The 13,614-nt window shown below is 34.0% G+C and overlaps 1 protein-coding gene across 5 annotated transcripts; it reads left to right on the top strand.

Annotated features, from left to right (window-relative positions):
• The first annotated feature begins 202 nt into the window (after positions 1–202).
• KLRC1 (killer cell lectin like receptor C1) lies at positions 203–12,624 on the top strand. Of its 5 annotated transcripts, NM_001304448.1 has the most exon segments (9): positions 203–556; positions 1,619–1,690; positions 3,701–3,918; positions 4,309–4,404; positions 4,921–4,974; positions 5,500–5,651; positions 7,256–7,356; positions 8,226–8,320; positions 12,588–12,624. In NM_001304448.1, coding segments are annotated over 7 exon segments (687 nt in total). In that variant the 5' UTR covers positions 203–556; positions 1,619–1,690; positions 3,701–3,731; the 3' UTR covers positions 12,590–12,624.
• Positions 12,625–13,614: the final 990 nt, after the last annotated feature.

Genomic DNA, 13,614 nt, shown 5'->3' with positions numbered 1-13,614 from the left:
GTCTCCTAGTTGGGACATGGATGCACATGTCCTCCCTCTGTATCCCTGAGCTGGCAAGACTGCTCACAGTCCACAGCTGAGAAGGGTGAAGGTCAAGATTCAAGGCTGTTTCAGAAACTACCGTGGAACTGAAGTCAGCAAGCCTGTACTGCTGACAAAGATGATTGAGTCTCACAGCAATTTCCTGTGATTAACTCAGGTCACAGTTGAGAGGAGTTTGAGTGGAGATTCAGGGCCATTTTAGTATCTTCTGTAGGACAGAGGTCAGCAAGCATGCCCCAGAGGTACAGATGTATATGTCTCCCAGGAAGTCTCTGTGGGTGAAGGACTGATCTCAAGTTGTGGCTGACACTAGTTAAAGCCAAGTTAGAGGGCTGTTTCAGGGTCTACATTGAGACTACAGTTGATATGCCTACCTCCTGAGACACTAGTGTGTGAGTCTCCTCCTGGGCCCCTGGGCAAATGGTTTTGGCAGCATGACCAAGGCCTAAATGGGGCTGAAGGCAAGCACAGGAGGATGGGTCCCTTTTCAGGTCTGGAGATGGAATCACTGTTGGTAAGTCTGCCACTTGGATGCAAATCTATTCCCTAAAACAACCTTCCTAGGTCTTGGGTTCCACTGGCATTTTACAAACTCCTACTTGAATTCCAAACTCCCTCAAAGGAACTTTTGTCTGTGGATGGCTGAAAAATTATTGTTGCTGTGGGGGCATATGTGTGGGGGACCACCTATTCTGCCAATTTACTGACTTTCCTCCTAGTAAGATTTTAAAATTACTTTTTCCCCATACATAGTTTGACTTCAGTTTTTGTCATTTACAACTAAATATTTCTATGAAAGTCGACATAATTTGTTATGGCGGAGGATGAATAAATGAAGAATGTAATGAATAGCTATTTAATATTTCAATTTCTGGTATGCTAATATATTTCAAAATTGATTAATATTTTACCTATCCAAGATATTTTTATCAAGGGTAATCTGAAGATTAAATAATCTATTTTTAAAAATTAAGTGCAAAAATTTAAGAACTAAGAGAAGTTAATAATATAACTTTGGCAATGATGCTTTTTGTGCCAGCTACAATCAATTGAGTAATTACTGCAGTAATTTTTCAGAATAATTAAGGAAAAAATCAGTAGATATCAGTTGATAATATTACTATGAGTTTTAGAATGTTTTCTATTATAATGGAAGTGACATAATAAAATAATATAAAGAAAAGAAGTATGCAATGTTAAGATTTAGCAACCTAGTCTAAAAGGCACTCTTAACAAGGTGAGGGTTGACAATGTTCGTGATCAAGACAGAAAAAAAAAAAATTCTCATAGGCACTTGAAAAATGAACCAACTAAATGACACACTTTCAAAGTCAACCTTGTACTTTTAATAGACCAAGTATCCTATATTTTGGAGGTGTGTGATGAGATAAAACTGATTTCACAATAGCCCATGTGTAGAATTTCCTGTTCAAACCTTAGTAACACGTTGATGAGAAATCTACTTTTTCCACTCTTGACTCACTCTGAGCCTTCACAGGGCAGTCTGCGAAGATTGCAGGCATTGTTTGTTCTTGTCTTGGATTTATGCCTTTAAATTTCACCTTTTATTACACAGCTATAGCAGGCCTTTTTATGAGACTAACCTGGCCTCTCCACTAAAGGATGTGTGACTTTCTGGGGACAGAAGGTATGTATTGCTACTCTCCAACTCTCTACTAGCCTACCTCATTTAGTGGGTGATTTCAAGTGCTCAATATGATACAAAGGAGGTATAATTAATATACAATAAAATCAAAGTAGAATATTGCTGTCTTCATTTGAATAACTCAGGGTAAAAACCTAAAATATGAAATATGTTGAAGGATTTCTTAAAGTTTTCAAATTATTGTTTGTGGAAATCTAGTGGGTTTGTTGATCAATATCGTTTAAGGGAAAGCTATTAACATCACAATAATGAACAATTAATTTTGTATTTTGTAATCAGTACATCATGTATCTTTGAATAATAATTTATATTTAGCTTAGCCATTAAAGATTATTAAAATAAATCAATCAATTGATGAAAGCCAAATACAATTCCTCAGACACGTAGATTAGAGAAAAGCAGTTTTTATTTTTAATAAAAATCAGAATGAGGTAGATTACATAAAATGCTAAAGGTATTACAAAGCAATAAAAATACTTTTTAAAAATTGATCAAAATATTGCAAAAAAAGATGTAGCGCATGGACATAGGAGACTTATCTGAAGATTTATTTTCCATGCTTTAACTGACATGAATCAGAAACAGTAACATAACAATTGTGACTAAAATAATAATTAAAGTAGCTAATGCTTATTGAGAACTTTAAGTGCCAGGTTGAGTGGTAAATGTTTTACATGCAACGTTTTATATGTTCTTATGCCCATTTTAGATTAACAAACTGGGTTATTAAAAATAGAATAACTTTTTAAAGGTCGCACATTATAAGTGTCAAAGCTAGAATTAATTCTAGATCTCACTGACTCCAGAGCCCATTGACTAAATGATTTAATTACATTATCTGAAATTTTACAAGTACTTATACAACTAAAGTGGCCTTTACTCACTTTGACAACCATAAAATCATTCTATAAGTTTAAATGAAATGTGCTTTAACATGAATTACCTATACTTTTATTTATCATTTTTTGGTTCATAATTTAGCCAGGAAATAAATTACCAATTACTAATTAAATTACCAATACTTCTGTAAGTATTAACAATTTATGTAGTGTTCCTAATACTATTTAGGTTATGCATAAGTTAACTGTGTCACATAGCATTTTCTGTCATATACAAATATTTAATTTTTTATAATTTTTAATAAATAATTTTTAATAATTTCTTAGAACATTTCAGCCATTAAGAAAAGACCATTTAATTACCTCTATTGATTTTCATTAATGTGTATAAATTACTAATTAAAAGTAATGTAGTGCAAGAAATTTTTATATATATATATGTCAACTTTACTATTACTCATGTGCAGACCACATAGTCTTAACCATTACTGGATTTCAAAATTAACATAAAAATGAGTGCAGAAGTTTTTCTAATACAACATTTTAATTTTTAACACAGGTAAAACATCAGACTTTAAGAAATATATTTTTATTCCTGAACTTCTTTATTCCTTAGTAATTTATTGCTTCTCATTGCCCCAGCAATAATATTTTGTCAAATGCAGAAAATTTATCTTTTTTTTTTGAGTCGGAGTCTCACTCTGTCGCCCAGGCTGGAGTGCAGTGGCACAATCTCCGCTCACTGCAACCTCTGCCGCCCATGTTCAAGAGATTCTCCTGCCTCAGCCTCCCGAGTAGCTAGGACTACAGGCGCCTGACATCATGCCCGACTACTTTTTGTATTTTTAGTAGAGACGGAGTTTCACCGTGTTAGCCAGGATGGTCTCGATCTCCTGACCTCGTGATCGGCATGCCTCGGCCTCCCAAAGTGCTGGGATTACAGGCGTGAGCCACCGCGCCCGGCCTAAAAATCTTTTTTTAAAACAAATATTCATAAGAAACGTGTTTAGGCTTGAAGAAAATCAGAGAAAGAACTTTAGATTATTTAATGCAAAATGAGCTCCAATACTCGTTCTCCACCTCACCCTTTTAATTGCACTAGGGAATCCTGTATATAAACCATTTATTAACTTCTTAACTACTGTTATTATAGAGTACAGTCCCTGACATCACACACTGCAGAGATGGATAACCAAGGAGTAATCTACTCAGACCTGAATCTGCCCCCAAACCCAAAGAGGCAGCAACGAAAACCTAAAGGCAATAAAAACTCCATTTTAGCAACTGAACAGGAAATAACCTATGCGGAATTAAACCTTCAAAAAGCTTCTCAGGATTTTCAAGGGAATGACAAAACCTATCACTGCAAAGGTAAAGCATTTAAAAGATCCTCAATATAACAGTCTAGGATGTGCAGCTTGGGGTACAGGAATGTGGGGAAAGAGAAGGGAGTGCTCATATATCTTCTATTTGCAAAGATCAGAATTCCAAGTTGAGATATGCTATTTCAATGTAAAGTATGAAGACTGATTGAACTCATTGTTGAAGTTTGTAGTCTTTGTCAAATAATTCATGGAGCATTATTTTTCCTGAAAATTCAATGGTATATTATTCTGAGAAAAAGATTACAATGGGAGATGAGGGTTTGGGGTCCAAGTTTCTCTGTATGATTCCTGTGCATTCAGGTTCTCTTGTCTGTGAATCTTCTAAACGACTGTATCCACCTCTCCTTTCGCACTGTTCCCATTTCTCTCCCTGCAGATTTACCATCAGCTCCAGAGAAGCTCATTGTTGGGATCCTGGGAATTATCTGTCTTATCTTAATGGCCTCTGTGGTAACGATAGTTGTTATTCCCTGTAAGTCTATTTTCGAAGATTACAAGGGGAATTTTCACGTTAATGATTGAATGTGCCTCTAAACATTTCATATTTTCAGGGAATAGAGTTCTCATTGTAATGTATATATTTGGACTAAATGTGGAATGATTATTCTGAATTTGTCAAAGAATAAATGAAAGAATAATTGTTGAAAGTATTCGCTTCTGATGCAATCGTATGTATATATTTGGATTTCATAACTCAAAAATATGTTCTAGGAGTCTGAAAAACCTTACTGAGAAATAGAAATTAATTTTTGAAAGTAGTTAAATCAAGAATTATAAGAACTATATGAGATGGTGAAATTTGGTTCTTTAGATCTATGAAATACTTTTCCAAAAAACCACCATTACTTTATCAAATTTTTCTTAAAATCAATTTTATTCCATATTATTCTAACTCTAAATAATACAAAAAAATTCAAACAAAAACTTAAAATTATTATGATTGATTTAGATGCTAATTTTTTTACAAAGATTACTTTAATTTTTCTAGCTACATTAATACAGAGGCACAACAATTCTTCCCTGAATACAAGAACTCAGAAAGGTATATAATAATTTTTAAAGTTTTAATATTGTACAGTTTATTTTTTCTTGATCTTAGGCTGTACAAAAATAAAATTTTGGGTGAAAAATTATAAAATTTGGCAATAAGTGTTCATAAATAAAATTAGAGTAAGGCATTCACTTGTCATCAACTATAAGTAAAATCACTATGCTTTCTTTTTATCTGTTGTGTTCAAATTCTTACTGCTATAATATGATAAGATACAAGTTATTTATTGTTCCTTAAAAATCAGATTAGTTCATTGATTTTTCAAGACATGTATAGAGTGGATTTTTGTTTGCTGGTTTGCTTTATATGGGAACACAATTAGGAGATGAAAGGCTGACCCTTTATTGCGCATGTGTGTATAAGTGACTGGGTATTTTGACACTATATATTTACCAGCCCATGAAGATGTATAGATATGTTGCATACGTATAGGTTTATATGTTTGCAAATATGTGAACTAATTTTCATTTTTAAAAATTCATATTGGTCTAGATAGTAATTCATATCTTTATTTAGCACGTCATTGTGGCCATTGTCCTGAGGAGTGGATTACATATTCCAACAGTTGTTACTACATTGGTAAGGAAAGAAGAACTTGGGAAGAGAGTTTGCTGGCCTGTACTTCGAAGAACTCCAGTCTGCTTTCTATAGATAATGAAGAAGAAATGGTAAGATGTAAATGTTTTAAACACTTTATGAAAAGCTTCTTTCGGTCGATAATATATTTGTAGAAATCATCCATATGTGTGGGTATATACATTTAGCTTATATGTTTTCAAGTTTATGTAGTATTTAATTGATTGACTTAATAATGTTTTAAAATTCATATACTGCTAATGTACTTTTGATTATTTTCAGTTTTTGCTTTTCATGGAAAACCATGCTTCTAGAAATGCTTTCAATCCACAATACATTTTGCTATCTAATTTTATCGGGCATGATGTGATCTGGTCATGCAGATTGATCACAAAGTGAATGAACTCCTGTGATACAAGTCAGATCATGAAATAAAAGTTTCCAGCTCTAGTAGTTCCACCCCTGTGTATGCCCTCATCACTTATCCTGACTCCTCTCCAAAACACTGTCTTGACTTTTAATGTTATAAATAACGTTTACCTGCTTTTGAATTTATATAAAGGGAATCATACACTGTGAATTTCATGTCTGTGTTTTTCACTCCTATCTGATATTTATGCAATTCCTCCATATTATTGCGGTTATCTGTCGTTTATTACTGTTCACTGCTGTAGTATGTACAAAGAACACTAAGAATCCATTCAATCCTGTGTCTCTGGATGGGGAAGTGAGTCTCATGCCCTCAGGGACAAAGAGGACCCTGGGTGGTGCACTGGTAGTCATTGGGTTCCTTTGCTGATCCTCCTCACCCACATCCACTCTGGTGTCTCTTGGTATGAGAAGGAAGTACTTCCTCTGGCTGTATTGGTAGCAAGTCTCCTGGTAGATCATCCTTGCCAGTGGTACCAGCCTTGCCTGTTGTTGCGGAGGGGACTCCCCTTCAATACAGAACAGGAGTGAGCTTTGCTGGGCCTCCTCCTATTGCCAGGTTGGGTGTAGGGAAACAGCAGGCCTAGGTCACCTTCTTCTGTCGTGTGGAGGACTTAACATGCTCGCTCGGACACTTGGTTGATCCCTGATGCTAGGGTCCCAGACAATTTCATCTTTCTCTTTCCACCTTTCAGAGTTCTCCATTGCTTTTGTCTTTCATTAATCCCAGAGTTTATAGTTGTTTTTAGTAGGGAGTAGCAGAGAGAGACGAGTCTACACCACCTGGTCAGGATCACTGTTATTCCACCAAAACCAAATCAGATAAAAAAGTGAGGGCTTATCTAGTTAAAGAATGGTGTGGTACCCAGAAAACCCAATATGTAGCTTCCATGTCATTTATTTCTGAATCACAACCTCTAATTTCTCTTCTAAATCTCCAACTCTGAGAAATATAGCACAAAAATAGTTTGATTTAGTCACAGTATCTGGAGGAATGAATGCACAGTATCAGGAGACTTATTTAAATCCTTACTGTGTTTATTCAGTCAATTGGGGTAACTATTATAATGCAAGAATTAAAACTTCTTTATTAACATGAGAAGAATAAAAGTACTAAGTATAAACATTGACGGGTTCATTTATATCAAAATTATAAACATTTATGAAAGTTTTTGGCACTGCAAATAGTGGTTTTCAAATTTAATATATTGTTTTTGTAATGTTTTCATAATTATTATTTAAGTGAAAATTCTTTCTTTTCTTTTAGAAATTTCTGTCCATCATTTCACCATCCTCATGGATTGGTGTGTTTCGTAACAGCAGTCATCATCCATGGGTGACAATGAATGGTTTGGCTTTCAAACATGAGTAAGTTGTTTTGTATGGCGCTATATAACAATATATATATAAAGGATAAATTCAGAAGAATAATATGAATAAATCTATGTGGAATCATAGAGATGAAGAAAGATGTGGAAAGTTAGTGAAATGCTGACATAAATATTTTACAATAGACCATAGTAGTCCATATATTTCAACCGCTCATTGGTCAGCTAGTAACCTTCTTGATTATCAGGTGTCCAATCTTTGGCTTCTGTGGGCCACATTGGAAGAAGAAGAGTCTTGGGCCACACATAAAATACACTAACACTAACGATAGCTGACGAGCAAAAAAAAGAAAAAAAAAATCACAGAATGTTTTAAGAAAGTTTACGTATATGTATTGGGCCGCATTTGAAGCTGTCCTGGGTCACATGCGGCCCGTGGGCAGCGAGTTGGACAAGCTCGAGCTGGACTATCAGGGAATTGCAGTGCTTGTTTTTATTAAAAAGCCACACTTACTTTTTTTCTTAAGAATATCCTCAAAGCACAAGAGTAGTGCTGTTGGCATATTGCTATAATTTTGTTATTAGTAGTTATTGTTGTCAATCTCTTATTGTGCCTAATTTATAAATTAAATTTTATCACAGTTATGAATGTGTAGAGAAAACATAATCTCTCTATAGGTTCTGCACTATCTGCCGTTTCAGGCATCCACTGGAATCTTGAAACATATCCCTCGTGGATGAAGGGGGACTACTCTGTTGAGTGTTCAGAATAATGACTCTTACTAATATTATGAAAAATTTAATTACCCTTTTCCATGAAATTATTTTCTTACAGTACATGGAAAATGCTTTCGTCTCATGAATCATTTGCTTAAAATGTAACAGAATATGGATTTTTCTCCATTACAGGATAAAAGACTCAGATAATGCTGAACTTAACTGTGCAGTGCTACAAGTAAATCGACTTAAATCAGCCCAGTGTGGATCTTCAATAATATATCATTGTAAGCATAAGCTTTAGAGGTAAAGCGTTTGCATTTGCAGTGCATCAGATAAATTGTATATTTCTTAAAATAGAAATATATTATGATTGCATAAATCTTAAAATGAATTATGTTATTTGCTCTAATAAGAAAATTCTAAATCAATTATTGAAACAGGATACACACAATTACTAAAGTACAGACATCCTAGCATTTGTGTCGGGCTCATTTTGCTCAACATGGTATTTGTGGTTTTCAGCCTTTCTAAAAGTTGCATGTTATGTGAGTCAGCTTATAGGAAGTACCAAGAACAGTCAAACCCATGGAGACAGAAAGTAGAATAGTGGTTGCCAATGTCTGAGGGAGGTTGAAATAGGAGATGACCTCTAACTGATAGAACGTTACTTTGTGTCGTGATGAAAACTTTCTAAATTTCAGTAGTGGTGATGGTTGTAACTCTGCGAATATACTAAACATCATTGATTTTTAATCATTTTAAGTGCATGAAATGTATGCTTTGTACACGACACTTCAATAAAGCTATCCAGAAAAAAAAAAAAAGCCTCTCCTGGGATTATTTGTGACTGCATTTATTCTCTAAAGTAATTTTTAAAGATTAGCTTCTTTATAATATTGACTTTTCTAATCAATATAAAGTGTTTCCTTCAATGTACTGTGTTATCTTTAATTTCTCTCTATTGTATTTTGTATTTTGGGGGATTGAAGTCATACAGAAATGTAGGTATTTTACATTTATGCTTTTGTAAATGGCATCCTGATTCTAAAATTCCCTTTAGTAATTTTTGTTGTTATAAATAGAAATACAACTGATGTCTGCATTTTGATTTTATATCTACTTATTCCACTGATTTTATATATGTAAATCTATTATGTCAACTATTGATTTATTTCTGGGTGTTCTATATAACGAGCAATTTTATCTGCACATGATCACACTTTTATTTTTTTAATCTATATGCTATAACGTAGTTTTATTTTCATTTATTTTCACTGGCTAGGGTTTTATACCCATAGTTGAATAGAAGGTACAATCAAAGTTCTGTGTGTATCATATGTATCGTTTTCTGATTTTGGCAAAAAATACTTAAACATATTATTCATATTTACAAAGCTTGGTGTTGTTTTCATCCTATCTTTCTCATATCGAAGCAGTTTTATAATATTCCTATTTTCTAATAGATTTTATCAATTGTAACATTTTTATTAATTTGTAGCAGTTGGAATGATATATGTTGTATTTATATAACATTTTATAAACTACTTTTATTTTTTCAAATGTTAAACCAGCCTTTGTTTCTGAAATAAATCCATGGTGATCATTGTATATTTCCCTCATAAAATATCAGTGCTGGCCGGGTGTGGTGGCTGATGTCTGTAATCCCAGCACTTTGGGAGACTGAGGCCGGTGGATCAGGAGGTCAAGAGATTGAGACCATCCTAGCCAACGTGCTGAAACCCCATCTGTACTAAAAATACAAAAACTAGCTGGGTGTGGTGGTGTGCACCTATAGTCCCAGCTACTCGAGAGGCTGAGGCAGGAGAATCACTTCAAACCAGGGGTCGGAGGTTGCAGTGAGCCGAGAGTGCACCACTGCACTCCAACCTGGCGACAGAGGGAGACTCTGTCTCAAAAAAAAAAAAAAAAAAAAAAAATTAGTGCATATATATTTTATGTAGGGTAAGATTTGTTTCTTCATCCACGTTCACAAGGATATTTGACCATGTTTTTATTCATAGCTATATACTTGAAAGGTTTTGATATCAAGGCTATCTTGGGAAGAATTTCTCTTTTTCTATAACCTAGAAGCATTTATTGAGCGTACTGCTTTATTTTTAAATGTTATAATTCACTAGTTATGCCATCTGAGTTTGTAGACTATTTTTCTAGGAAAGTTTATGTCTAAACTGAATTTCTTTAAAACATGTAGGATATACTCGGATTTCTATTTGATGCACTGCGTTTGGTAATGAGTATGTATGAATTTTCTATTTCATATAGACATTAAAATGTAATGAAAATACAGTTTTATTGCCACTAAATAACTGTAAAGACCATAATGGTATTGCCATGTTTAATCTAGAAATAGGCCAGTTGTGGTGGCTCAAGCCTATAATCCCAGCACTTTGGGAGGCATCATTGTGCCTGGCCCTTATCAATTTTTTAAAATGTTAAATTTATTATTTTTGTGGATACGTTAGTAGGTGTATATTTTTAGTAGTCGTTCATCAAGTTTTAAAAGCATTTTCAATGAAAATACCTTTGGCCTTGCTGTTCTCTCTATTGTAACATTATTCTTTATCGTGATTTTTTACTGTTTATTCATTATTTTCTTATACACCACTTGTATTTAGTTTTAGCTTTTCTATTTTTAATTTATTTTAGTGCATTCAATGGTTATTTAATTTTTAGGTCATCTTTTGTAATATATGTACATTGAGGGCAATCAGTTTTTACAAGAGAGATTTTCATTCTATTTTCCTTATAATTCATATAAAAATTGTGACCATTCATTTTGATAATTTATTTCACCCATATGTTATTTGGATATATATTACTGAATTTAAAACCATTGAGGTTGTCAGATTTTTTTATTGACTTCTATTGTAGGTAAACTGTAGTTAGAACATTTTCTATGAAGCTGGAAATATTCTTCATCTTTGTATGCAAAGATGTGGCTAGTGTGCTGAGAAACTGGCTTTATATGTTATTTATTTGGTATTAATTAATGTTGAATTAGAATAGCTATTTTTTAACTATCCACTGGCCAAGCTTGGCTAGTGGTACTACATTGAAATCATAGTCCTATATTTTTTACTAATATGCTTAGAATTATGAGATTACAGTGTATTTGGGAAAAATATGTGAAATTAAATATGTGAGTATTCTACGTGTGTGAGTGTGTGCATATGAGTGATAACTACGTGTCTAGTTCAGATCTTTCTGTCAGCTCTGTGGCTTGTTTATGTGTTAAGCACTGAGAGAAAAGGGTTTAAAATCCCATTTATGATTGTTACTTATTCACTTTATTCAATTATATGTTGAACTTGTAGCATTAGGTACATGCAATGATAAAAAATGTATATTACTAGTGGTTTGGAAAATTAATCTTACATTATGAAGCATGCTTCCTCAATTCCAGTAAAGGGCTTGCCTTATATTAAGACGGCACTATTACAACTGTAATAGTGTTCTACCAGTTTGTGAGGCATGGTATATGTTGTTAAATATTTTATCCTCATCTTTCCTTGTTTAAATATTTTAATTTTAATTTCAGTGCGTACATAGTAGGTGTATATGTTCATGGGGTCCGTGAGCTGTTTTGAGGGAGACATGCAGTGCATAATAATGACATCATGTAAAAATGGTGTTTCCATCTCCCTAAGGATTTATTCTTTTGTTACAAACAATCCAGTTATACTCTTTAGTTATTTTTAAAAGTACAATTAAATTATTATTGACTGTAGTGACCCTGTTGTGCTATCAAACACTAGGTCTTACTCATCCTTTCTATCTTTTTTTCGTACCCATTAATTAACCATTTTCACCTCCCTACTACTACCCTTCCACTATCCTTCTCAATCTCTGGTAACCATCCTTCTACTGTCTCTCTCCATGAGTTCAATTGTTGTGATTTTTAAATCCCACAGGTAAGTGAGAGCATGTGATGATTGTCTTCCTGCGACTGGCTTATTTTATTTAACATAATGACCCCTGGTTCCATTCATGTTATAGCAAATGACAGGGTCTCATTCCTTTTTTATGGCTGAATATTGCTCCATTGTTTATATATACCACATTTTCTTTGTCCATTCATCTGTTGATGGACACTTAGGTAGCTTCCAGATCTTAGCTATTGTGAACAGTGCTGCAACAAACATGGGAGTACAGCTATCCCTTAGATAAACTGATTTTCTTGCTTTTGGGTATATACCTGGGAGTGGGATTGCTGGATCATATGGTGGCTCCACTTTTATATTCATTTTTCTTTATGCTTACATGAAAGGCATGTCTAATAAAGACAACAAACAGTTATTACTGAATATATACATTCTTTGCTTTTAAATTCAAATTACTCTATACTTAATATAATTATCAATATCTAAAATATAATTCTTATGTATTTTATTTATATGGAAATATGTAAGCACAGGTATTAATTATAACTTCATTTTTATTACATTCTGATTGAACATTACCAAGTGTTTAAACTCTGTTGTTCCCTTATGTTTTCATAATAAATATTTTCATTGTTTACTTTCCACATAGAAACTTGTTAATTTAATACAATTTACAACACACCTGCTGGCACTTTGATCTGGGACCTCCCTGTTGTCTGAACTGTGAGTAATATATCTGTATGGTTAATAGATTGCTTAGTTTGTGATATTTTATTATAGCAGTACAAACAAAGTAAGATTACTCTCTATTTTATTTGCCAGTTAGCCTGTATCTGCTCCCCAAATTCTAATACAAATATTTATTTCAATGTTGGAAACTTTGTCATTAATACACTATCTATTCAATATCCAATTAGGTATATCCACATAATTCCTTTACTTTAAGTCTTCTTTTTGAATATCCAAGTTTTCATTGGGAAGGTGTGCTTAATCTATTGAAGAAATTTGAATTTTATTTTCTTTAGAGTTTGTAATAACTAATTCACTCCAATTTCTTAAACTGCTTGAAAATTATTTTATTTCATGTTACATTAAAAGTATATTTTCACTTCTTATTGACTTCCAACTTAGCCATAACCCATAGGAAACCAGATATTGCCATTATTTGCAATAGTCACAGTAATTCATATGTAGGTTCGGTGTTAGGGTTCTCCAGATGGACAGAACTAATAGGATACGTGTATATATGAAAGGGAGTTTATTAGGGAGAATTGGCTCACACGATCACAAGGCAAAGTCCCACAATAGGCCATCTGCAAGCTGGGGGAAGAAAGAAGCCAGTAGTGGCTCAGTAAAAGCCTCAGAAGCAGAGAAGCCAAAAGTGCAGCCTTCAGTCTGTGGCCGAAGGCCTAGGAGCCCCTGTAGAACCACTGGTGTAAGTACAAGAGTCCAAAGGCTGAAGAACCTGGAGTCTGATGTCCAAGGGCAGGAGGAACGAAGGAAGCATCCAGCACGGGAAAAAAATGAAAGCCGAACACAGCAAGCCAGCTTACCCCACCTTCTTCTAGCTGCTTTGTTCTACTCGCTCTGGCAGCCATTGGATGGTGCCCACCCACACCGAGGATGGGTCTTCTTCGCCCAGTCCACTGAGTCAAATGTCAGTCTCCTCTGGCAAC

This window comes from Homo sapiens, chromosome 12 (assembly GCF_000001405.40).
Source record: "Homo sapiens chromosome 12, GRCh38.p14 Primary Assembly".
In the NCBI taxonomy this organism is placed as follows: Eukaryota; Metazoa; Chordata; class Mammalia; order Primates; family Hominidae; genus Homo; species Homo sapiens.
This window is presented reverse-complemented; position numbering and strand designations above follow the sequence as displayed.